Source organism: Homo sapiens, chromosome 16 (assembly GCF_000001405.40).
Source record: "Homo sapiens chromosome 16, GRCh38.p14 Primary Assembly".
NCBI lineage: Eukaryota > Metazoa > Chordata > Mammalia > Primates > Hominidae > Homo > Homo sapiens.
Genome location: NC_000016.10, coordinates 20,333,051 through 20,357,836, shown reverse-complemented (window position 1 = coordinate 20,357,836; position 24,786 = coordinate 20,333,051). Strand labels below are relative to the sequence as shown.

Here is a 24,786-nt window from a genome sequence, read left to right as displayed (position 1 = left end):
GAAGAGGTTCATCCCATTTCTTATTTCCTAGTTTCATACCATTTCCCTCCTGACCCCCCACGACACCCTCCGACCCCCTCCACCTTCCCACCCCCATCCCTGGAAAAATTGTCTTCCAGGAAACCGGTCCCTGATGCCAAAAAGATTGGGGACTGCTGCTGTAATGGCATCTTTATTGCTTTTAGAATAAAATCTAGTCTGCCTACCATGCCTTCAACACCTTGAAAGGTCTGGCCCCACAGATCTCCTCCTCTCCCTCTCCCCCTCACATTCTAGGCCCCAGCCACACTTCCTGTCTACTCTATGAACAAGCCAAATTCACTCTCTCCTCATGTTCCCTCTGCCTAAATGCACTCCCTTCAAAATACATTTCCCCCAGTTCCTCACATAGCCATGTTCTTTTCTTGGTTCAAATCTCAGCTCACCTGTCACCACCTCCAAAAGGCATTCCTGGAGACTAAAAATTGAAAGCATCTTATTTTGTTGTGCAATGATATATTGCCTGATTCTCCAATTAATATGTAAGCTCCACGAAAGTAGATATATCTATTGTTTTTTTTCTTGCCGTATTCCCTTTGCCTAGAACTCTGCTTGACACATAGTAGATGCTCAATAAATGCTCGTGGATCAATCAAATATTCCATTTTAGGTGAGAAATACATAATTTCATAGTCATCCCAAAAGGCAGAGGTGCTGACAGTGTTGTCCCCAGATCCAAACTGGAATCTGTATTCGTTCCCTATTTTTGATCTGACAAATTAACACTTAAGTGGCTTAAAACAACACAAACTTACTCTCTTAGAGTTCTGGAGGCTAGAAATTAGAAATCAATTCCACTGGACTAAATTCACGAGTTAGTCCCTTTTGGATGAATTCCCTGCTATGCCTTTTCTAGCTTCTGGGAGGCCCCTGCATTCCTTGGTTTATGGTTCTGTCCTAGAATCACTCTGACTTTTCATTTCATCCTTACACCTACTTCCTCTGACTCCTCCTGCATCACTTTTATAGGCACCACTGTGATTGCATCCAGCCTGCCCAGACAACCTCTCCATCTCAGGATCTGTAATCACACTGCACAGTCCCTTTTGCCATAAAAGGCAACACACACAGGTTTGGGGATTCAGAGGTGAACGTATTTGGGGGTCATTATTCAGCCTACCACAGATTTAACTCATGGATTTGTGTCATTCATTTCAGCCAGGCCTTCTCTTGAGAAAAGAAGGGCAGCATTCTTTTAGAAATTGAGGTCTCTAGAAACCACCTGGGTCTCTCCACTCCTCACCTGTCATGTAAGGCAAAGGCTATTTGTGCTTTCTCATACCTCCAGAGACAGCTCCCATGCCCCTCACCCTGAACCTGGCCTGTCCACAACCAGAGGAAGCAGGGAACAGCCTGCGGCTCTGGAACTCACCTGAGCCGAATTCCCCAACAGGAGCAGGTGTTAGTATTCAGGACACGGTGTAAGGCTCACCTGCCTCGGCCTTGAGGTCATGTGGCTGCCAGTTGAAGGAGGGTTACGGGGGGCTGCCTAGACTAGATCATGTGGCATAGAGCCCCTGACAGGCCACGAGCCAGAGAATGGGTGTGCCACCTCCAGGTCCCCCAGGCGTAACTGGAGCCTCAGGAGGTGTGTGCTCAGAGAGGTAGGTGGGACAGGTAATACCCCTCTTTTGGGGGATCTTCTCCCTTGGCTCATTTTTTGCCGCTTTCTGACACACACCAACCTCTCATTCTAAGTTTTTGTGTTCTGTTTGATCAATTTTTCAAAACTCTCCACCCTTTAGTTTCACTCTTTCCAAAACTACCTAAAACCACTTATCCTTCTAAGACCCTGTCATGGCTGAGCATGGAATGTTCTGTAACCCAAGGAATGCAGGTAAATCTGAGTGAGATTTGAGTTTTAGTCTGGATTTAACACTCGCTAGCTGTGTAATCTTGGGGGAGTTACTCCACCTCTCTGAACTTGTCTTCTTCCCTGTGACGTGGGTTGTTGTGTTTCATTGTTTGAGACAATGGAGGCAAAAGCACTGAGCACAGTGTCTGACCCAAGAGAAGTGCTCAGTGGGTGATTGTTCTCAGCATTATTAAGATCAAGTCTCCTACCCATGTTTGAAAGTTAAGAGAGAAAAGTGTTTCAGGCTGGTTGTGGTGGCTCATGTCTGTAATCCCAGCACTTTGGGAGGCCGAGGCAGGCAGATTACCTGAGGTCAGGAGTTCGAGACCAGCCTGGCCAATGTGTACAAAAAAAACACAAATTAGCCGGGCATGGTGGTATGCACCTGTAATCCCAGCTACTCGGGAGGCTGAGGATTCAAGGATTCAAGAGAATCACTTGAACTTGGGAGGTGGAGGTTGCAGTGAGCCAAGACTGAGCCACTGCACTCCAACCTGGGTGACAGAGCAAGACTCCATTAAAAAAAAAAAAAAGAAGAAGAAAAAGAAAGAAAGAAAGAAGAGTGTTTCAAGAGCGAAGTGCTGAGAGATTAAGGTTCGTTCAAAAACAAATATTTATTGTGCACTGTCCTAGAGGTAAGATAAAGAGAAAAATATTGATTGAATTTGGTAACATGGATGTCTTTGGTGAACTTGATGAGCAACAGAGCAGGAAATTATGGCCACTGACAACTTGTTATACTCACAGATCCCAAGAGAAGGGGACACACCACACTGGGCAGAGGGGCTGAAGGGAGAGGAAGAGCTGCTGGGAAGTACCAGGGTCGGTCAGGAAGCAAAGAGAGCAAGGGAAAAGGCAGGAAAGAGCCTTTATTGTAGTTTCTGCAGGAAGGAATGGGAGAGGCAAGGTAAGCAGATTTAGGATTGGCTTAGTTTGAATAATTTCAGAGACCTCTGGGCCATAGGAGTTGTCTCTAGTTGTCTGGTACCTGGTCCCTTGGGGTGATCTAAAGCAGCAAGTAGTGACCCTAAGTGTAAAAGCCCCAAAAAGGAGGCCAAGGGTTGGGGGTATGTGGTCTGGATTGATTGATTTGCAGTCGGAAAGGCACATTCACAGATAAGTCGTTTTTGATCTCTAGTAATTATTGAGCCCTGGGAGGGGCAGTCCCTCCATGATCAGTAAGGCCCCAAAATGTACAAGCACCAAATACAGAAACTAGAAAGCATGGTGATTACACTTATGAATAGATTCCAACCCAAACTCCCCATTTTCCTGCCCAAGTCTTTGTCAAGAAAACTCCAGAAGCCACCTGGGGTCACTGTCTTTAATCCTTTGAAGACACCCATAATAAGGTTTAGACAAGGCCTCATGAAAAAGGTATAGGATAAAAACGACTAGTTCAGAAAAAAAAAAGTAAATAAATGAAGAGATAACTTCCCTTTTCATCAAAGAATTGCAAAAATGAACAATAATGAGATCGTTTCCACTTATCCTTTTGGCAAAGATGAAAGCAAGTTACCAATGCTCAGAACTGGTGAGTAGTGTTGGTGGGATTGTAAACCAATTTATAATAATTCTCTGGGGTGCTGTTTGGGAAGAGGAGTCAATATTCCTACAGCTGTGCTACCTCTTTGACCCAGAATTTCCACTCCTTGGACATAATCCTGAGGAGATGACAACACCAGTGCCAGTGGTTACCCTACCACTGAGTGGGACAGGATGGAGAAATGTCCTGAAAAGAGCAATTCACAATAGCAAAGACTTGGAACCAACTCAAATGTCCATCAATGATAGACTGGATTAAGAAAATGTGGCACATATACACCGTGGAATACTATGCAGCCATAAAAAATATGAGTTCATGTCCTTTGTAGGGACATGGATGAAGATGGAAACCATCATTCTCAGCAAACTATCGCAAGGACAAAAAACCAAACACCGCATGTTCTCACTCACAGGTGGGAATTGAACAATGAGAGCACTTGGACACAGGAAGGGGAACATCACACCCAGGGGCCTATTGTGGGATGCGGGGAGCGGGGAGGGATAGCATTAGGAGTTATACCTAATGTAAATGACAAGTTAATGGGTGCAGCACATCAACATGGCACATGTATACATATGTAACAAACCTGCACGTTGTGCACTTGTACCCTAAAACTTAAAGTATAAAAAAAAAAAAGATCAATGCAGTGATCATGGTGATATTTTCCTGCTCAGCCCAAGTTCACACATATTTTATTTTTCTCAACATGATGACAGCCACTCTCACACTGACTTTTGGAATGTCATGTATGTTGAACTGGGTCTGAAGACATGGTTTTAACTCAGGCTCTGTCATTTTCTACCTCAGTGATTGCACAACAGCAAAGCAGAATTTTCACTACTTCCATGAATATAATCATTACTATATGACTTTACTTGCATCATCTCCTTTGGTTACTATTACTACTGTGGGAGATGGGTATTCTCATTTTATAGACAAGGAAATTGACCTCTGGACCTCAGGAAGGTTAAGAAATGAGCCCACTGCCACACAATAAACACCAGATAAAGGAGGCAGACTGACTCCAAAGTCAGTCTATTTAAGTGCAAATTTATTTCGCCTCCAAAGGGACCTCCCAGTCATCAGACCTGATTCTTTGTTGTACAGAGTGGGTCAGGTCCAGTGATGTCTGAACTACCTTCTGGTTCTGACTTTCAGCCATTCTCAGCTCCTCTCTTGCTTGTGTCTGGATTCTAAGGCTGATCTCATGAGAATGGGTGTTTCAGAAGGGTGCCCTCTCCAAGACAGGTGCACCTCCCATCTGGGGCAGTGAATATCCCTTTTGTCCTTATGCAGCCTGGCTTCAGATACTGGCTTCTGCCTGGCTCCTTGATCCCACCCTGCCCTTGTCAGTGACCAAGAAGAAGCCCAGCACCTTGGCACTGCTTTCCCAGTTAATTTCTAACTATGGAATCTCTTGCTGTTAGAAGGTGCGAAACAGTGACCTTGTATTTCCGGGCACAGGTGTGACCCCCCAATGTCAATCATTTGGGGTCTCTAGCTATTAGGAAAAAGAACAACAACAACCTCACAGCTTGGACAAGGCAAACATTATGCCAGGAGGAAAAAATATTCCACCCCCAAGAAAACAATATCAAAAAACAGAACTAGAGACTAATTGGAGGAGAGATTGCCAGCCTGGGGCAAATGTGTATATATAAGTATGAGGCACATCATGACCAGACTAACTCTACCTTTCTGGCTTCAGGTAAGGCTATCTGTAGCTGTCTTCTCCTAGCCCAGCTTCTCCCCATCCTATTTGAGGGAGGTAGGAGAGGAAATTAAGACCTTGGACACTGGGGTCAGACCTGGATTTGAGTCATTATTCTGCCAATTATTGGCTTCATGATCTTTAGTAAGTTAGTTTTCCTCTCTTTGATCCTCTCTGTCCTAGTAACAATGACTACTATTTTTTGACTTATTCCATGAATATTAGTTATGCACCTATTATGTGCCAGGTACCAGGGTTACAACAATGAACAACTTGCTATGTGCTGGGCCCTGCTCGACATATGTCATCTTAGTTAATCCCAGTGACAATATGCAGTGTTTTAGGTCGCATCTTATTAGCGGGTCATAAAATCATTCCTTTTGTGGGTTATATCCAGGGACTTCTTTTAATTAAATATAATAGAATATGTCAGTAAGCAATACAAATTTGAGGCAAGCAGTTAGCCTCTTTGTCCCCCTGTTTTCTCATCTGCAAACTAGGATAATACTTATCTCATAGGGTTGTGGTAAGAATTAAATCACTTAATGTAGTAAGGATATCAATTGTCTTATAAAATTTTATGTGTGTGTGCACATACATGCAGAAGCGACTGCACTAGATCATGACATAAAATGTTTTTCTTTCTTTCTGTCTTTTTTTTTTTGGGGGGGGGGGATGGACTCTCTGTCACCCAGGCAGGAGTGCAGTGGCACGATCTCAGCTCACTGCAACCTCTGCCTCCCAGGTTCAAGCAATCCTCCTGTCTCAGCCTCCCGAGTAGCTGGGATTACAGGCGCCCACCACCATGCCCGGCTAATTTTTGTATTTTTATTAGAGATGGGGTTTCACCATGCTGGCCAGGCTGGTCTCAAACTCCTGACCTTGTGATCCACCCCCTCAGTCTCCCAAAGTGTTGGGATTACAGGCATGAGCCACTGCACCTGGCAACATAAAATGTTTTTCTTTTAGTACATCATGGTCACGAAGATCTGGAAAACGTTGCTCTAGGACCCAATGCCTTTGAGCACATGAATGTCTTTGAACTGAGCCTGGCCCATCATAGATATTCAGTTTGTGAAAGCAACAATCTCCATTTCACAGACAAAAACGGAGACTTAGTAAACTGAAATACCCACATCACAGTGTTAGTGATCAGTAAAGCAGGGATTTGAACCTCAGGTGCAGGCTGCAGCTCCTACATACTTAACCAACATGCCACCCTATTTTGCTGCTATAAACACTGGGGTAATACTGGCATCCACCCTGGACTATTTTTCCAATTGGAAGAAATAGTAAGTGACCACTCCAGAAACATTTAAATGCATTGTGAAGGTTAATTACCTCTCAAGTTGCTCGTCTCAAGCCACTTCTTTACGATATGTGAGTTGCATGAAGGAGCAGACTGCCATGTTCATTGTTCTCCATGGTGACTAGCTCCCTGTTTGGCACAATGTAGCTACTCAATAGATGTTTGTTGAATGAATAAGTGATCCAGGCAAATTGAAAGTTTCCAGGCAGAGGATCAGTTAAAATCCAAAGCTGCCTTCAGTAAAGTGGTGAGTCCAGAACACTATTCCATCTGGCTACTTCCTGCTCCAAATGACTGAGTTCTTCAAAATGTGCAATGTGCTGAGAATTGGGGAGCCAAGACTGGGATGTTGGTGAGGTAAGGAGGGGGAGTACAAGGGGTAAAGTCCCAGCAAAACAAGGGCTGCAGTGTTATGCAATTTTTTAGTCCATATAAGTGACACCTCCTGGAGTTGTATACTATACAATCAAAGCACTCCTTCCAGCTGTGGGGAGGAGAGTTAGATCATGCATTTGTCCCATCCATCTCTGTTCACAGGACACCAGACATCAGAGACAGAGAGAAAAATTCAAAGGGCCAACCCGTCTTTCCTTTGGGCAGGTGCTATCTAGACCTGAAGTAGCGGGAAGAGCAGAAAGGATGGGGCAGCCATCTCTGACTTGGATGCTGATGGTGGTGGTGGCCTCTTGGTTCATCACAACTGCAGCCACTGACACCTCAGAAGCAAGTAAGTGAAAAGTGTGTGTGCGTTGTATATGTGTGTATGCACGTGTATGTGTGAATGTGTGGGGGAAGCAATGTAGCACCTGTCAGAGGTGATCTCAATCCTCCTATCGCACTTGAGACTTGCATTGTCTTCATTCTAAGTCCATTTCTTAGACTCAATATGCACAGGACTGACTTAGAAATTTTGCTAAAGTGCATATTCTGGTTCAGCAGATCTGCAGTAGGACCTGAGATGCTGAATTTTTAACAAGCTTCCAGGCGATGCTCATACTGGGGTCCCTGGAGTACACATTGAAAAGCAAGGGGCTAGAACATCTCTAAGGCCTGCAGGCCCTTTATTGGAAGTCAGAAACATACTCTATCACATAGGAGATTTGAACCCATGCAGGAGGATCCAAACACCTTCCCTTTCAACTTTAAGAGGTCATTCCATTGGGTTGAGATTTGCTGTCACCCCACTTTCATTTTCTCCCTGGAGTACGTTGGGGCACGATGAATACTATTGCGGTGTCCTGGTTAAAAGCACATATTTTGTGGTCCTGCCATCTGCGTTTTTATCCTGGTTCTACTTCTTACCAAAGGAGTAAGGGGCTTAATCCCTCTGAACCTCAGTCTCCTCATCTTTAAAATAAGGATACATAAAAAACTGACCTCACGAGGCCCTTGGGAAGTATTCAACAAGATAGTGAGTGAAAAGTGCACATCCTATTGCCTGGCATATAGTAATTGCTTAATAAACAACAGCTTCTTTTTTTTTTTAATGGTTATTTTTATTACGGAGGAACAAAGTACAACTGCCCAGCCAGGTGGAGTTGGAGGACTCCGCAGAGAGGAGGCGACACTGAGCAGGGTCCTGATGAAGATTTCACCAGCCAGGGAAGCAGAAAACATAAAATGTGCAAAGAAAGGGAGGGGCAACAGGTTCACCGTAAATCCTACCAAAGTATAGGAATTCTGCGCATTACTTTTCTGAATGTGGCTATTTTAAAAGAAGACAGCTTGAAAGCAATGCTTAACACAAAAAATGAATGGTGGAGCTGGGCGCGATTGCACGTGCCTGTGGTCCCAACTTTTTGGGAAGCTGAGGCAGGGTGCGGTGGTGGCTTGAACTCAGGGAGTAGAACGCTTGAACCCAGGAATTGGAGGCTATGGTGAGCTATGATCGCACTACTGCACTCCAGCCTGGGCGACAGAGCAAGACCCCTCTCCAAAAAAATAAATAAAGTTAAAAAATACAATGAAATAAACACAGAATGAACGGTGGAGGCTTGACATCATCAGAGGAGTTTTGTTTCTTTGCTTCTTTCCTTGTTTTGGAGGGAGCCCTCTAGGGAATAAGTCTTAAAAATAATGAGTTCCCTGGAGAATGAGGGAAGGATCTCTGGGTGGCCATGGGCCCAGCTGCCCAAACCCTGAAGCTGGGCTTTTCTGTCCACAGGATGGTGCTCTGAATGTCACAGCAATGCCACCTGCACGGAGGATGAGGCCGTTACGACGTGCACCTGTCAGGAGGGCTTCACCGGCGATGGCCTGACCTGCGTGGACCTGGATGAGTGCGCCATTCCTGGAGCTCACAACTGCTCCGCCAACAGCAGCTGCGTAAACACGCCAGGCTCCTTCTCCTGCGTCTGCCCCGAAGGCTTCCGCCTGTCGCCCGGTCTCGGCTGCACAGACGTGGATGAGTGCGCTGAGCCTGGGCTTAGCCACTGCCACGCCCTGGCCACATGTGTCAATGTGGTGGGCAGCTACTTGTGCGTATGCCCCGCGGGCTACCGGGGGGATGGATGGCACTGTGAGTGCTCCCCGGGCTCCTGCGGGCCGGGGTTGGACTGCGTGCCCGAGGGCGACGCGCTCGTGTGCGCGGATCCGTGCCAGGCGCACCGCACCCTGGACGAGTACTGGCGCAGCACCGAGTACGGGGAGGGCTACGCCTGCGACACGGACCTGCGCGGCTGGTACCGCTTCGTGGGCCAGGGCGGTGCGCGCATGGCCGAGACCTGCGTGCCAGTCCTGCGCTGCAACACGGCCGCCCCCATGTGGCTCAATGGCACGCATCCGTCCAGCGACGAGGGCATCGTGAGCCGCAAGGCCTGCGCGCACTGGAGCGGCCACTGCTGCCTGTGGGATGCGTCCGTCCAGGTGAAGGCCTGTGCCGGCGGCTACTACGTCTACAACCTGACAGCGCCCCCCGAGTGTCACCTGGCGTACTGCACAGGTCAGCCGGAGTCTCCCCACAGTCCTCATCCCAGGCCTGGAAAGGCACTGCAGAGGACGGGGGTGCGTCCTTATTGATTGTCTGTCTGTCCCTGTGACCCTGCAGACCCCAGCTCCGTGGAGGGGACGTGTGAGGAGTGCAGTATAGACGAGGACTGCAAATCGAATAATGGCAGATGGCACTGCCAGTGCAAACAGGACTTCAACATCACTGGTGAGGCCAGTGGGGAGGAAGCGGGTTGTTGAGAAACCTGTCACTGCCTGGGGGAGGGACACATTCCTCCCCTGTGAGATTGGGGCCATATGGGTATGACGCAGGGGATATATATCCAACCTGAGTGAAAACAGAAGATCCACTAATACCCATTAAAGCCGGCAAGAGGCTCTCTGAGGCTCCCTGAGTCTCCCTTTAGTTGACTTCAAAGCTGCCAAAGATTTGGGGACCTCCTCGCACCCAGCCTTCTTTCTGAGGCCCACACCACAGTGGGCACCCACGTTGCTGCCATCTGGGAGCCAAAGACCATCTGAGCCCTATTCCTGCAGCACCAGAACACAAGCCCGGCCCGGTGAGCAGTCCACCAATCAGCTCAGGCCTGATGACCAGTCCACCAATCAGCTCAGTACTCCGGGCCAGGCACAAGCCTCAGATTTCTCATAGGTACAATTATTGAAGATGAAAATAGTATTTTCAGACTTCAGTCATGATTTTAGTTACATCCAAGTGCCAACTTTACAATTGGCACCCTGGTTCACTTGCTTTATCCAAGTGTTACCTGTGCCATGACTTTTATTAAGTTGTTTTTCTTCTAATGGACTGAATCTCTTAAGCAAATTTGGAATGTTGATGGTCAGGACTTCATCTGTCTGTGGCAAGTTATGCTTACCTTAGACAGAAAGTTAACTGTAAAAATAAAAGTTACTAAAAAGAAAAGAAGGTTACTAAATTTCAGCAGTTGTGTAATACTTCCATAAAACAAATTTTAAAAAATAAATACTAAAAATTAGAAAAATACTTCAATTTTTAAAAAATTAAACAAGAATTCTGGCTGGATGTTGTTTCCTGCCCCAAACTCTCAGCCCGAGGCCTGCTCTCTGTTTGAGAGGGAAGTTAGTGGGCCGGGCGCAGTGGCTCATGCCTGTAATCCCAGCACTTTGGGAGGCCGCAGCGGGCAGATCACCTGAGGTCAGGAGTTCAAGACCAGCCTGGCCAACATGGCAAAATCCCATCTCTACTAAAAATACAAAAACTAGGTGAGTCTGGTGGCAGGTGCCTGTAATTCCAGCTACTCGGGAGGCTGAGGCAGGAGAATCACTTGAACCCAGGATGCGGAGGTTGCAGTGAGCCAAGATGGCACCTCTGCATTCCAGCCTGGGCTTGTCGCCGAAGAGAGAAACTCCGTCTCAAAAAAAAGAGAGAGAGAGGGAAGTTAGTGAGTACATGGCATTAAAGACATTAGTGGCAAGCTGGGACTGTCTCCTTGATGTGAAAAGGGTAGAAAGTAATTGCAGCTTGCTTGCTTTTTCTTTCTTTCTTTCTTTCTTTCTTTCTTTCTCTCTTTCTTTTTTTTATTATACTTCACGTTCTAGGGTACATGTGCACAACGTGCAGGTTTGTTACATATGTATACATATGTAACTTGCATCATCTCCTTTGGCTACTATTACTACTGTGGGAGATGCGTATTCTCATTTTATAGACAAGGAAATTGACCTCTGGACCTCAAGTAATCTGTCTGCCTTGGCCTCCCAAAGTGCTAGGATTATAGGCATGAGCCACCGCATCTAGCCTTTTTATTTTTTTAAACGAGTATTCATTGTTATTTAATGCTGGGACATCAAAACCCCCCAAAACCGTCCTGCATTTGGTATATAACCCACATTTAGGGGAACCCAAGACTGAGTGGTTGGTCAGTGGATGTATCCATTGATGTCAGAGGTCCAATCTTGAGTCCCCATCACATTGGGAGGGGACAGATCAGCTCAAGGCTATGCTGAGCACTTCCAGATGGTGGTCAGCCCAGCCAGCTGGACCTGGCCCCTGGGGATGTGCTGGGCCCCCAAGCTATAGACACACGTCCTCAATCCCACCTAACCTGTTTCAGATATCTCCCTCCTGGAGCACAGGCTGGAATGTGGGGCCAATGACATGAAGGTGTCGCTGGGCAAGTGCCAGCTGAAGAGTCTGGGCTTCGACAAGGTCTTCATGTACCTGAGTGACAGCCGGTGCTCGGGCTTCAATGACAGAGACAACCGGGACTGGGTGTCTGTAGTGACCCCAGCCCGGGATGGCCCCTGTGGGACAGTGTTGACGGTACGTCCTGGCCAGTGGGGGACAGAACCAGAGCACTGCCTGGTTCAAGCTTCAGCTCTATCACTTCCTAGTTATAGAAGCTTTGGGGAGTTATTTAGCCTGGCTGTGCCTCAGTTTCATCAACTGTAAAGTGGAGAAATAATAGTACCTACTCCACAGGTGTATTGAGAGGATTGAATGAGTTAATGTGTTGAAGTGATTAGGACAGTGACTGCACACAGTAAGTGCTCAATAAACATCAGCTTCAAATAAAGAAAGCAATTCATGGTGATAGTTCTCCATTTTACAGATGGGAAAAGTAGGGCCATAGTAGGGATTGTCTCAGCCAGTAGGCATCAGCATTGGGTTCAGAAACTAGTCTATTTGTCTCCAGTGGTCCTGGAAGGCAAGGTCTGTATCCTTAATGTACAGAGAATCAGGACCTCACCTACAGAGGCCTCCTCAAATGAAACCCAGAGGTAAATGTTTGTGTGAGCAGAGCATTATCTCCTGCCACCTCCCTCATTACCAGAGGAAGAAAGAAAGAGAAAGAGAGGAAGAAAGAAAGAGAAGGAAGGAAAGAAAGAAAGAAAGAGAAAAAGAGAGAGAGGGAAGGAAGGAAGGAAGGAAGGAAGGAAGGAAGGGAGGGAGGGAGGGAGGGAGGGAAGGAAGGAAGGAAGGAAGGAAAGAAAGGAAGAAAGGAAGAAAGAAAGAAAGAGAAAGAAAGAAAGAAAGAAAGAAAGAAAAAAAAAGAAAAGAAAGGAAGGAAGGAAGAAAGGAAGAAAGAAGGAAAGAAGAAAGAAAGAAAGAAAGAAAAAGAAAGATTTAATGTTGGCCGGGCATGGTGGCTCACGCCTGTAATCCCAGCACTTTGGGGGGCCGAGGCGGGTGGATAACTTGAGGTCAGGAGTTTGAGACCAGCCTGGCCAACACAGAGAAACCCCTTCTCTACTAAAAATACAAAAATTTGCTGGACCTGTTGGTGGGCACCTGTAATCCCAGCTACTCGGGAGGCTGAGGCAGGAGAATCACTTGAACCCAGGAAGCAGAGGTTGCAGTGAGCCGAGATTGCACCACTGCACTCCAGCCTGGGTGACAGAGTGAGACTCTGTCCCAAAACAAACAAACAAAAAGAAATAATTCATGTCATTTTCCAAGGATGGCATTTGAAATTCCATTGATGGTGACTTGGCATATGGTTTTCAGTTTTCAAGAGAGGAAGCACGGGGTGCTGAAAACAGTCTAGTCTTGTGAGATGTCACATATTGTGGGCAATCCCTCAGTGACTCTGTTACTATGAATCTCTGTCTTCTTGTCTGGGAAGCAGGGATGTGGCAGCGCCACTTGTTAGGGTCACTGAAGGAACTAATGCTATGACTCAGGAGGGGTATTCCACTCGGGGTCTGGCACATGACATATGCGCATGAATGGTCATTGCTGTTGTAACTTTTTTTTTCTAATTTATAAAGAAAAGATGATTAATTGGCTCGTTGTTCAGGCTGCACAGGGAGTTTTTAACTGTTGTGGGATTTTTTTTTTTTTTTTTGAGATGGAATCTCCCTGTCGCCGAGGCTAAAGTGCAGTGGCACGATCTTGGCTCATTGCAAGCTCTGCCTCCCGGGTTCAAGCGATTCTCCTGTCTCAGCCTCCCGAGTAGTTGGGATTACAGGCACCCACCACCACGCCCGGCTACTTTTTGTATTTTTAGTAGAGACAGGGTTTCACCATATTGGACAGGCTGGTCTCGAACTCCTGACCTCAGGTGATCCGCCTGCCTCGGCCTCCCAAAGTGCTGGGATTACAAGCGTGAGCTAATGCGCCCGGCCACAGGCAGCTTTTTATCAAGGAGACTAGGAGAGCGGCTCACAAGTAGCCAGACATGAGACCAGCAGATTTAGCTTTGAAGTCCTACTCAGATTCTCATGCCCCTTTCTCTCATCCCCACCCCCCCTCCACCCCCATTCCCTGCAACAGAGGAATGAAACCCATGCCACTTACAGCAACACCCTCTACCTGGCAGATGAGATCATCATCCGTGACCTCAACATCAAAATCAACTTTGCATGCTCCTACCCCCTGGACATGAAAGTCAGCCTGAAGACCGCCCTACAGCCAATGGTCAGGTGTGGCCAGAGAGGGTCCCTAGGGCCCCTAGATGGTTCTAACCCCAAACCCCTTAACCATGAGCTTCCCTGTCAACTGCCACCCACAGGGAGCTGGGAGTGAGGGCTGGGAATCAGGGTTGCCCAATGGAAGAGCCAGGAATTCTGGAGCCCAGGTTCAAATCTAGACTTTGTCATAAATGATGGTTATGCCCTGGCCAGTGGGGGACAGAGTCAAAGCACTGCCTGGTTCAAGCCCCAGCTCTGTCACTTACTAGTTGTATGAGCTTGAGTGAGTTATTAAGCCTGGCTTTGGGAAATTGATAGTCCCTCTCTAGGTGTCAATATTTTCATCTGTGAAATGGGTTTAATAGTACTCTAAGAATTAAATGATATGGGAGGATCGCTTGAGCCCAGGAATTTGAGGCTGCTTAGAGCTATGATTGTGATGTGAATCAGATTCAACCATTAAACTGATGTAGATGATTCAGATGTGAATCAAATATTAAAGTCTCTACTTTTCAAAGAGGCAGGGTGGTTGTGCCAGAGAGCAGGAATGGTCTCAGTCCAGACTGCTATGGAATGCTGGGCAAATCATATTTCATATTTGGACCTCAACTTCTTTCCTTCTCTGTGAATGAAAGGAATTTGATTAAAGAGGATTTTAAAAATTACGCTCCTTGCAAGTGTCTTGGTAGGGGCCAAGGGAGGTGCCCTGGCAGAGTGCCTACAGGGGTAAACTATTCATACTGGGTGCCACGTAGTATTTTATTTTATTTTTTTTAAAAGGAATCTGTTGCTAAATAAAATTGAAAATCTTCAAATAGGATGAATCACAGGCCAATGATGGAAAATTATAGTTGTAATAAGAAATAAGATTTATTGATTATTTATTTATTTATTTATTTATTTATTGAGACGGAGTCTCGTACTGTCGCCCAGGCTGGAGTTCAATGGCATGATCTTGGCTCACTTCAACCTCCGCCTCCCAGGTTCCAGTGATTCTCCTGCCTCAGCCTCCCAAGCAGCTAGGATTATAGGTGCCCACCACCACACCCAGCTAAGTTTTGTATTTTTAGTAGAGACGGGGTTTCACCATGTTGGCCAGGCTGGTCTCAAACTCCTGACCTCAGGCAATCCACCCACCTCGGCCTCCCAAAGTGCTGGGATTATAGGTGTGAGCCACCGTGCCCTGCCAAGAACTAAGATTTATTGAGAGCTTACTATATCTCAGGCATTATAGCCAGTGTTCTGCCTGGAACATCTCATCAAACTCTTACAGCAGCCCTAGGAGATAAAGGTATCATTATTATTACTATTCCCATTATACTGATGTGGAAATTGAGGCTCACAGAAGTTTGAGTGACTTACCCAAAGCTGTAAAGTCTAGCAAGTGATAGAGCTGGGATTCAGACATCAGGTCCAGAGCCTCCACTTGACCATGACCTTCCCTTCGAAGCTTGCCCATGGTTTTCTGCTCTCTTGGCCAGCCAGACTCAGGAAAGGATGCTGGGCACTGATGAGGGTGCACAGCTGACTTGGAGGAAGAAGAGTGCTCATTGCAAGCTGTTGGCTGGAACCTCACCTGGCCTAGCAGTGTCCTGGAGCAATGTGGCCCCGTCCTCGGCCTGGTAGGCTCTGGGGAACAACAAGTGTGCCCACATCTCTCTGTTTTATGGTTTTGTTTTGTTACGAATCCAGGTCTCACTCTGTCACCCAGGCTGGAGTGCAGTGGCACAATCATAGCTCAATGCAGCCTCAAATTCCTGGTCTCAAGCAATCCTCCCACCTCAGTCTCCCAGGTGGCTAGGACTACAGACACATGCCACCACACCACCCTGGGCTATTTTTAAAAATATTTTTATAGAGACAGGGTCTTGTTACATGGACCAGGCTAGTCTTAAACTCCTGGCCTCAAATGATCCTCCTGCGTATGCCTCCTAAAGTATTGGGATTACAGGCGTGAGCCACAGCACCTGGTCCCTCTCTCTGTCTCGAGTTAGACATCTCACCCCAGTCTTCACTGATAACTCAGTTCTCATCTGTAAAATGGACTTCCACATTTCGGAGTATTTCTCATGTGCCTTATTTCATGAGGCATCAGCCTTACAATGTCCTTTGTTGGATCATCCAGTGAAGTTCACATCAGTGTGGCTGTTTTCAGTGTGGTTAAAAATAACTCATTTATAAACCTCAATCTTCTGATATAGATGTTAGTACATCACGATGGAGGCCAGGACGCAAGTTGTAGGCCTCATCATAGCTCAATACCTTTTAACCTGTTCTAGATTGAGACCAAAGAAGGAATCCAGGTGTTCCTGTCAATAATTTGTTTTTTTGCCATCTTGAAAGCTACAGGGGTAGCAAAGCCTATAGCAGTAGCAAGTGAGGGACTGGATGTGTTACTTGAGATGTGATTGATCCATAGACCAGCAGCATCAGCAGCATCCAGGCACTTGTCAGAAATGCAGGACCTTGAGCCCCACCCCAATACTCACCAAATCAGAGCCTGCATTTTATCTAGATCCCAAGTTGACCTGCGTGTACTTATTGCGGTTTGCAAAGCAACAGTTGGTGGGTTCCACTCTTATTGCTGGATAAAAATGCAAATAACTGCAAGGGACTGCCTAGGAATGCAAATCAGAGAAGGTGGCCTATCTGCAGATGTTCTCAGCCCGGTCCTCTCACCAACCCTTCTCCCCTGGCAGTGCTCTAAACATCAGAGTGGGCGGGACCGGCATGTTCACCGTGCGGATGGCGCTCTTCCAGACCCCTTCCTACACGCAGCCCTACCAAGGCTCCTCCGTGACACTGTCCACTGAGGCTTTTCTCTACGTGGGCACCATGTTGGATGGGGGCGACCTGTCCCGATTTGCACTGCTCATGACCAACTGCTATGCCACACCCAGTAGCAATGCCACGGACCCCCTGAAGTACTTCATCATCCAGGACAGGTAAGGCAAAGGTTCCTACATGGGAACTCATGGGTAGAATTCAGAGGGGGTCTTTGGACTTGGATGGAGGAAAATTGCATCTTTTTTTTTTTTTTTTTTGACAGAGTCTTGCTCTGTCGCCAAGGTTGGAGTGCAATGGTGTGACCTCGGCTCACTGCAACCTCCGCCTCCTGGGTTCAAGTGATTCTTCTGCCTCAGCCTCCCAAGTAGCTGGGATTACAGGCAGAGGCCAGCAGGCCTGGCTAATTTTTGTATTTTTAGTAGAGATGGGGTTTCACCATGTTGACCAGGCTGGTCTTGAACTCCTGACCTCAAGTGATCCACCCCCTTGGCCTCCCAAAGTGCTGGGATTACAGGTGTGAGCCACCACGCCTGGCTGAAAAATTGCATCTTTATATTCATTACCCTTTAGCTGAACCTTAGCATTCCCATCCATTATAAATACAGGCAACAAACTACAGAAATATTAGCAGGTCGTGTGAAGCCATTTATAGTCATCAGTACTTTTTAGTTACTATAGCATTAGAATTTTCACTAGACCTTATTATTTAATGAATTATCAATACATATGTATTGGCAAATATATATTTATGTATTATATATATATATATATATATACACACACACACATATATATACACACACACACACAAAGATATAATGCATTTTGTATTTCAAATGTCTTTTTTTTTGGTCGTTTGATTTGGTTTGGTTTTTTTGAGACAGGGTCTCATTCTGTCACCCAGGCCGGAATACAGTGACTTGATCATAGCTCACGGCAGCCTCAACCACCCAGGCTCAAGCGATCCTCCAGCTTTAGCCTCATGAGTAGCTGGGACTACAGGCACACACCACCATACACAGCTAGCAAATGTTTTTAATATTTTGAGAATGGTGCTTCAATTTAATTGATTTCCTTTATAATCTTTTAAATATTTTATTTTAGGCATTTAAAAGTATTATTTCTGAGGAGGGATGTACAAGCTTCACCAGAGAGCTGAGTAGGGTTTATAATTCAAAAAATGGTAAGAAACTTGATGGAAAGGCTTGCCCAGGGCAGCAGGCAGCCCAGCACCTGGGGGAGGAGTAAGACATGGGCATGGTTAGCCAAGGGCCAATTGAAACTAGGACACAAGTGTGCTACCTTTTACTCAAGAGGCACTAGATGACTATGAACCTTACCATGAGACGGTGATTCACTTTCTCGTTCATAAGTTGAAAAGATATTTTGGAAGCTTGCTGTGTGTCGGGCTCTGTGGATTTCACAGTAAATAGAAGAAACAAAAACCTCTGCCCTCACACAGCTTATATTCTAAAGGGGGAGGGCCAACTATTAAATGAAAGTGAAATATATAGTATGTTAATGACAAAGAGGTTGTAGAAGAAACAAAGCAGGAGAAGAAAGACATTTGCAATTTTAATTGCATTGTCAGAAAAAGCATTCCTGAGAGACAGTGGTCTGTTTCTGCCTGGTTACACCAAGGGAATATTTTCAGGTGAGTGCCAATGTGATGTTCACACGTCTTTGGAATCTCCCTTTGCAATAAAAATAAAGCAGAAGTCTGTTTCAGAGCATTTTGCAATTAGCAGAGTCTAACTCAAACTTAATACAACTCTTTTGTTGATCTTGTCCTCATTGTATGGTCCTGTTCTATTTATGCAAGTGATACTTGTCTGCCATTTGAATTCATGACCTAAAGATTCTTCTAGTAAGTAAATGTATTTCAGTAAAAAATACAAGTGGATTTAAAGAAAAATAGTAAGTAAATAATAATACAGATGTTGGGACACACAGGAAAACGCTCATAAAGGTGGTATCTCAATAAAGAAAAAAAGAACTGAAAGTTGGAAACTGTTGGCATGACCTTGATTGGAGTATCACAGAGATTTGGGTTCAAATCTTGGCTTTGCCATTTCTTAGCTTTAAGAAACAGGTTAGCTCATCTCTCTGGGTTTTTCTATTCTCAGACGTAAATGGGGATAAATAATACCTGCTATGCTGGGATTTTAAAACTTGTTTTTCATGAGTATAACGGGCACGATGGCTCACGCCTGTAATCCCAGCACTTTGGGAGGCTGAGGCAGGCAGATCACCTGAGGTCAGGAGGTCAAGACTGGCCTGGCCAATACAGCAAAGCCCATCTCTACTAAAAATACAAAAAAATTAGACAGGCATGGTGGTGGGCGCCTGTCATCCCAGCTACTTGGGAGGCTGAGGCAGGAGAATTGCTTGAACCCAGGAGGCAGAGGTTGCAGTGAGCCAAGATCACACCATTGCACTCCAGCTTGGGCAACAAGAGTGAAACTCTACCTCAAGAAAATAAAAATAAAGCATAGCAGGGAGGCCGAGGCAGGTGGATCACGAGGTCAGGAGTTCGAGACCAGCCTGGTCAACATGGTGAAACCCTGTCTGTACTAAAAATACAAGAATTAGCCAGGCATGATGGCACACACCTGTAATCCTAGCTACTCAAGAGGCTGAGACAGGAGAATTGCTTGAACTGGGAGGCAGAGGTTGCAGTGAGCCAAGATCACACCACTGCACTCCAGCCTGGGTGGCAGAGCAAGACCCCATCTAAAAATAAAATAAAATAAAAGTACAGCAGGGACATTGCGGAAAACTTGGAAAGTTTTGAAAAAGAAGCAGGAAAAAATGTAGGGTGTGTCTATAAGTTGCCATCTGGGTGAGTGTGGGAGCTGGGGTGAGAACTACCAGTGTAGGATAGGTGTCAGAACATCACAAGGCATGAAAAGAGGAGACAAGTCGGGGAGACAGTGAAAGTGACTGGAGGGGACACATGGATGTCCAGGTTGGCTTGAGCACGTGGAGCCCTCACAGGCCATACTGTCTGCCTTTCAGGAGTTGAGTCCACTTAACCTCAGGGCTTTTCTCTTGCCAGGCAGAGTCTGCACTTTTGGAGCCAGATCTGAATTATGGGAGACACAGAGCTAAGAGTGAAAAACACTCCCAGAAGCTCCCGTCTCAGTTTTGCAGTCAGTGTTCAGCCTCCCTCCGAAATCAACTTTGAGGAAAGAGTGCGGAATGGCAGAGGGGGTGCCCAGTTTGCCTCCCCAGAAAGCCTATGGGTATCCTGACCCAGCCCAGCACATGTGGGAGTCTCTGCATGCTCTATTTCGGGTTTCTCCTTCTAACTGTGTTTGGGTGCAATTGTGTATACGTGCAGATGGGTGCACACACTCCAATTTCATCAGTGGCTCTCGGTACCCAGAGGTTTCCATTGTTATAATTATACCAGGCATATTGTAGATAGCACATAGCAGCTAATAATTTTTGAATGTCATTGCTGGGAAATCAGGAAGTGCTGACTTTTGGATAGTTTCAGCTCTGCACTGATGACAGTTTCACTTTAGTATCAAATATATAAAGCACCTATGGCATGCTACACACAGTTCTACGCACTTTGAGAAATTAACGAATTTAATCCTTACAGCTATCTTATCACATGGGCTGCGATCATTTCTTATGTACAGATGGAGAAATTGAGGTACACAGAGATTAAATAAGTTGCCCAAAGTCACACAGCTGAAAGGTGACAGAGCAATATTTGAATCCAGGAAGTCTGACTCCAGAATCTTTATTTAACCAACCACATTAAATGATGTGTAACCCTCCCAGATGCCCACACACTAGAGACTCAACTATCCAAGTGGTGGAGAATGGGGAGTCCTCCCAGGGCCGATTTTCCGTCCAGATGTTCCGGTTTGCTGGAAACTATGACCTAGTCTACCTGCACTGTGAAGTCTATCTCTGTGACACCATGAATGAAAAGTGCAAGCCTGTGAGTTGACTCCCCTCCCCCAGCCCATCTCTTGTAACCAAAGACATTTGGCCACAAAGAAAACAAATCAATATTTCTTCCCTGTTTCCCTCTTTTACCAGAGGGATAGAATGAGCAATAAGATGAGGTGGGCGTGGCTAGGCAGGAAACCTAAGCTGCAGGGGAAATCAGGTGGGATCAGTAAAGTGCGGCAGGCTGGTAAGAGCTCTGGCTTATCTGCAAGCTTGTGTTCAAATAACAGGAGCTGACATTTTTAAGCACTGTGCCCACTTTATTTGTGTTAGCTTTTAATGCTTCACAGCAACTCTATAAGGGAGGTATTACTGGTTCCCTTTCCTCATGAGGAGAGGGGCTCAGAGAACTTCAGTGGCTTGCCTGAGATCATGCATCTATCTAACAAATGGCAGAGCTGGGACCTGCACGAGCCCCGGTATACAGGTCTCCTAACAACTTCTGCCTGGGGCAAGGGAAGGCACCTGTGAGGTGGGCAGTCCACTCCACGTGGCAGAACCACATTCAGGCTCCTTCATGGAGGGTGTTTTTCTATTGCCCTCTCCCTGTAGACCTGCTCTGGGACCAGATTCCGAAGTGGGAGTGTCATAGATCAATCCCGTGTCCTGAACTTGGGTCCCATCACACGGAAAGGTAAGAGAGCCACTCGCTCCTCAACATTCCTGGCTGGGAAAGATTTCTGGAGAGGAAGAGGGATAACAGAGCCTGGCACCTTGGCACCTTACTGAGCTCTGAAGAACTGGGAGCAAGTGGATCCTCTGGGGCAAGGTGGAATACAGACTGCCTTCCTTTCACTATTCCCATTCATACACCCATTCATTGGACAAATATGATTTGTAGATGAATGTAACACAGGACACGGGGGAGGCCAGACAGGCAGGTAGGAATGTAGATCATCCAGACAAGTTTGCACACACATGAGGCCACAAACATACATTCATATTTGTAGTAGATGTGTGCCTACTCTGTGTCTGGAGGTCTTGTGATGAGCAGAAGTAGATGGCCCTGCTCCCATGGAGCTTGTGAATCAGTGAAGAAGGTGCCATTTGAATAATCCCCTGTAGATGTGTAGGATCTGGGTGATCCATTAAGTGCAGGGTCTACAAAATATCTCAAGCACTGATCTTAGGAGTGGTTTAGGAAGGGTCAGAATCTTGTGGCTTCCAGCTGCATGACTCCTAAACCTTAATTTCTAATCTTGTAGCTAATTTCTTAGTTCTACAAAGGCAGTCTAGCCCCCAAGGCAAGAAGGAGGTTTGTTTTTGGAAAGGGCTGTTATCGTCTTTGTTTTAAACTATAAACTAAGTTCCTTCCAAATTAGTTCAGCCTACACCCAGGAAGGAACAAGCACAGCTTAAAAGTTAGAACCAAGATGGGGTTGGCTAGGTTGGCTCTCTTTCACTGTCTCAGTCATAATTTTGCAAAGGTCATTTCAAGAGTACAGCTTGGGCAAAGGGCCTGTGGCAGGAGGGAGCCTGGCCTGTTAAAGGAACCCAGAGAAGGCCAGGGGAGTTGTGTGGGATGAGCTGCTGCAGACCTTGTGGAGCCTTGCAGTTCTTGCTAAGGGTTGGGACCTTTCTCCTGAAAGCAGTGAGAGCCCCTGATGGGTCTGAAGTAGGGGAGTAACATGATCAGATTTGGGTTTTGAAGAGATCAGTCTGGCTGCGAAGTGAAAAGTAGATTGAAGGGGTTTCTGTCAGGATGCTTGCCAAATCTCATGCATTCTTTATTCACTGATCCTTCTGTTTTCCTCCAAAGGTGTCCAGGCCACAGTCTCAAGGGCTTTTAGCAGCTTGGGTAAGTTCAGGTCCTTTCTGCAGTGGGACCTGTTCCAGAACTCTCCTGGGGGGCTTCTATCTGTTAACTTGTAATGCTTCATAGCAACTCTATAAGGGAGGTGTTACTAGTTCCGTTTTCTAAATAAGGAGAGTGGCTCAGAGAACCTGAGTGGTCCTACTGAGATCATGCATCTCTCTATTAATTGTAAGAGCTGGGACATGTGCCCCAGTATACAGATCACTTATTTTATACACAAACTTATTACAAACCCAAAGGATATGCACACACTCCAGATCTGCATCTTGGGCACTTACTGAAGCTCCAAGCCTCCTCTCTAACACTTTTTTCTAGATTCATTCAATAGGTGACAAATAGGCCAGGCGCAGTGGCTCACGCCTATAATCCCAGCACTTGGGGAGGCTGAGGCGGGCGGATCACAAGGTCAAGAGATTGAGACCATCGTGGCCAACATGGTGAAACCCCATCTCTACTAAAAATACAAAAGTTAGCTGGGTGTGGTGGCGCGCGCCTCCCAGCTACTTGGGAGGCTGAGGCAGGAGAATGGCTTGAACCACGGGGGGCAGAGGTTGCAGTGAGCCAAGATCACGCCACTGCACTCCAGCCTGGCAACAAAGCAAGATCCATCTCAAAAAAAAAAAAAAAATAGGTGACAAATATTCCTTGAGTGCTACCATGTGCCAAGAGCCATGTTTAGTTCTGGGGTAAACACAACAAATAAGAAACCCCACTTCTCTGCTTCTTTGCTCCTCTAACTCCCTGAGGTCCCAGGGTGTGCTGGAGGGCTGGGCTTGAGCTCTGAAGAGGCAACTGTATCTATGGAAATGCCTGGAGTGCCTGGACTTAGGGCTGTACACATGCACACATACCTATGCTGTGTCCCAATAGTACATATGTGCACACAGACACAGGCATGCCCAGATAATCACATGAGAATGTAGGTCATCCAGACATGTTTACCCACACACACAAGGTCACGTACATGCATTTATATTTGCATGTACAGATGCACAGAAAGCTGCAATTGTCTGCATGCATATTTGTGTGTGCAGATGTACACACACTTATTGGAAACCTGTACCCAAAGGATATGAACATACCCCAGATCTGTATATTGGGCACTTCCTGAAGCTCCAAGGCTCCTCTCTAACACCTTTTTCTAGATTCATTCAATAGGTGATGAATATTCGTTGAGTAATACTATATGCCAAGAACCATGCTTAGTGCTGGGGCAAACACAACGGCCAAACAAGAACCCCCACTTCTCTGCTTCTTTGCTTTTTCTGACCACAAAGGCCAGGGACAGGTGGCATTTTTATGGCCCATGGTTTTCATGGCACTGAATTGTCTAAAAATCTAGGTGAAAAGCAAATCTATGCAACAGCTACTGGTACCTGGATCCAAGGAGGTTCTTACACTAACTTGGCTTTTTTTTTTTTTTTTTTTTTTGAGATGGAATCTGCTCTGTCACCCAGGCTGGAGTGCAGTGGTGAAATCTCAGCTCACTGTAACCTCTGCCTCCTGGGTTCAAGCGATTCTTCTGCCTCAGCCTGCCCAGTAGCTGGAACTACAGGCGTGCACCACCACGCCCGGCTAATTTTTGTATTTTCCAGTAGAGATGGGGTTTCTCCGTGTGGCCAGGCTGGTCTTGAACTCTTGACCTCAGGAGATCTGCCTGCCTTGGCCTCCCAAAATTCTGGGGTTAAAGATGTGAGCCACCCCACCCGGCTAACCGGGCATTTGACCTGAACTAGTTCAGCCCAGTGCTGGTGAGCTCAGAGATGGAGAGTCACAGCACTCCTAAGAGGCTTGCTCTCTGTGACTATCCCCCAAGGTCTCTAAGGATGGTTGGATAGATTGGGCACTTCACAAGAATGCCCTTTGCCCTTTTGAGGAGGTACCAAGCCTAGTGCCGGAGGAAAGATTATCTTTTTCAAATCGGTCCACCTTTTTCAGGGCAGATAAGGAGGAAGCTTCCTTTTTCTAGGAGAGCAGCCCAGAGAGGGTGTCCTCTTCTGATTGGTCAGCCTAGACGAGGCAGCTTATGTTAATTTGCACAAAAGTACAGCAGTACTAGCAGTTGCCCTGTCACTGTTTTCTTTTCAGGGCTCCTGAAAGTCTGGCTGCCTCTGCTTCTCTCGGCCACCTTGACCCTGACTTTTCAGTGACTGACAGCGGAAAGCCCTGTGCTCCATGGCTGCCATCTCACCTCCTGCTGGGCAGGGGGCATGATGCGGGCCAGTGCTCCAGCCACAGAAAAGAAAGTTCATGCTTTGTTCAGCCTGCCTTCTTTTCTCCCTTTTAATCCTGGCTGTCGAGAAACAGCCTGTGTCTTTAAATGCTGCTTTTTCTCAAAATGGGACTTGTGACGGTGTACCTGAGGCCCCCATCTCCTTAAAGAGTGTGGCAAAATAATGATTTTTAAATCTCA

The 24,786-nt window shown here is 46.4% G+C and overlaps 1 protein-coding gene across 12 annotated transcripts; it reads left to right on the top strand.

Annotated features, from left to right (window-relative positions):
- On the top strand, positions 1,536-24,786 carry UMOD (uromodulin). Of its 12 annotated transcripts, XM_011545937.1 has the most exons (13): positions 5,122-5,148; positions 6,659-6,707; positions 7,061-7,187; positions 8,625-9,401; positions 9,507-9,614; positions 11,503-11,711; positions 13,665-13,813; positions 15,283-15,423; positions 16,501-16,746; positions 20,384-20,546; positions 21,110-21,191; positions 22,317-22,355; positions 24,462-24,786. In XM_011545937.1, the coding sequence occupies exons 3-13, from the start codon at positions 7,100-7,102 to the stop codon at positions 24,521-24,523; spliced, it is 2,064 nt and encodes a 687-aa protein (XP_011544239.1). In that variant the 5' UTR covers positions 5,122-5,148; positions 6,659-6,707; positions 7,061-7,099; the 3' UTR covers positions 24,524-24,786. The 12 variants fall into 12 exon arrangements, 11 of the variants coding, with proteins under 11 accessions (XP_011544240.1, XP_011544239.1, NP_001365163.1 ...); XM_011545938.1 differs by lacking the exons at positions 5,122-5,148; positions 6,659-6,707 and adding an exon at positions 1,536-1,643; NR_165456.1 differs by lacking the exon at positions 15,283-15,423 and having other exon boundaries at positions 6,659-6,817; positions 13,667-13,813.

Coding starts and splice junctions, on each gene's coding strand:
- UMOD (XM_011545938.1), top strand. CDS start 7,100: ATGGGGCAGCCATCTCTGACTTGGATGCTGATGGTGGTGGTGGCCTCT. Junction 7,188..8,624: donor CACTGACACCTCAGAAGCAA/GTAAGTGAAAAG, acceptor TTCTGTCCACAG/GATGGTGCTCTGAATGTCAC. Junction 15,424..16,500: donor GTGGCCCCGTCCTCGGCCTG/GTAGGCTCTGGG, acceptor CTCCCCTGGCAG/TGCTCTAAACATCAGAGTGG.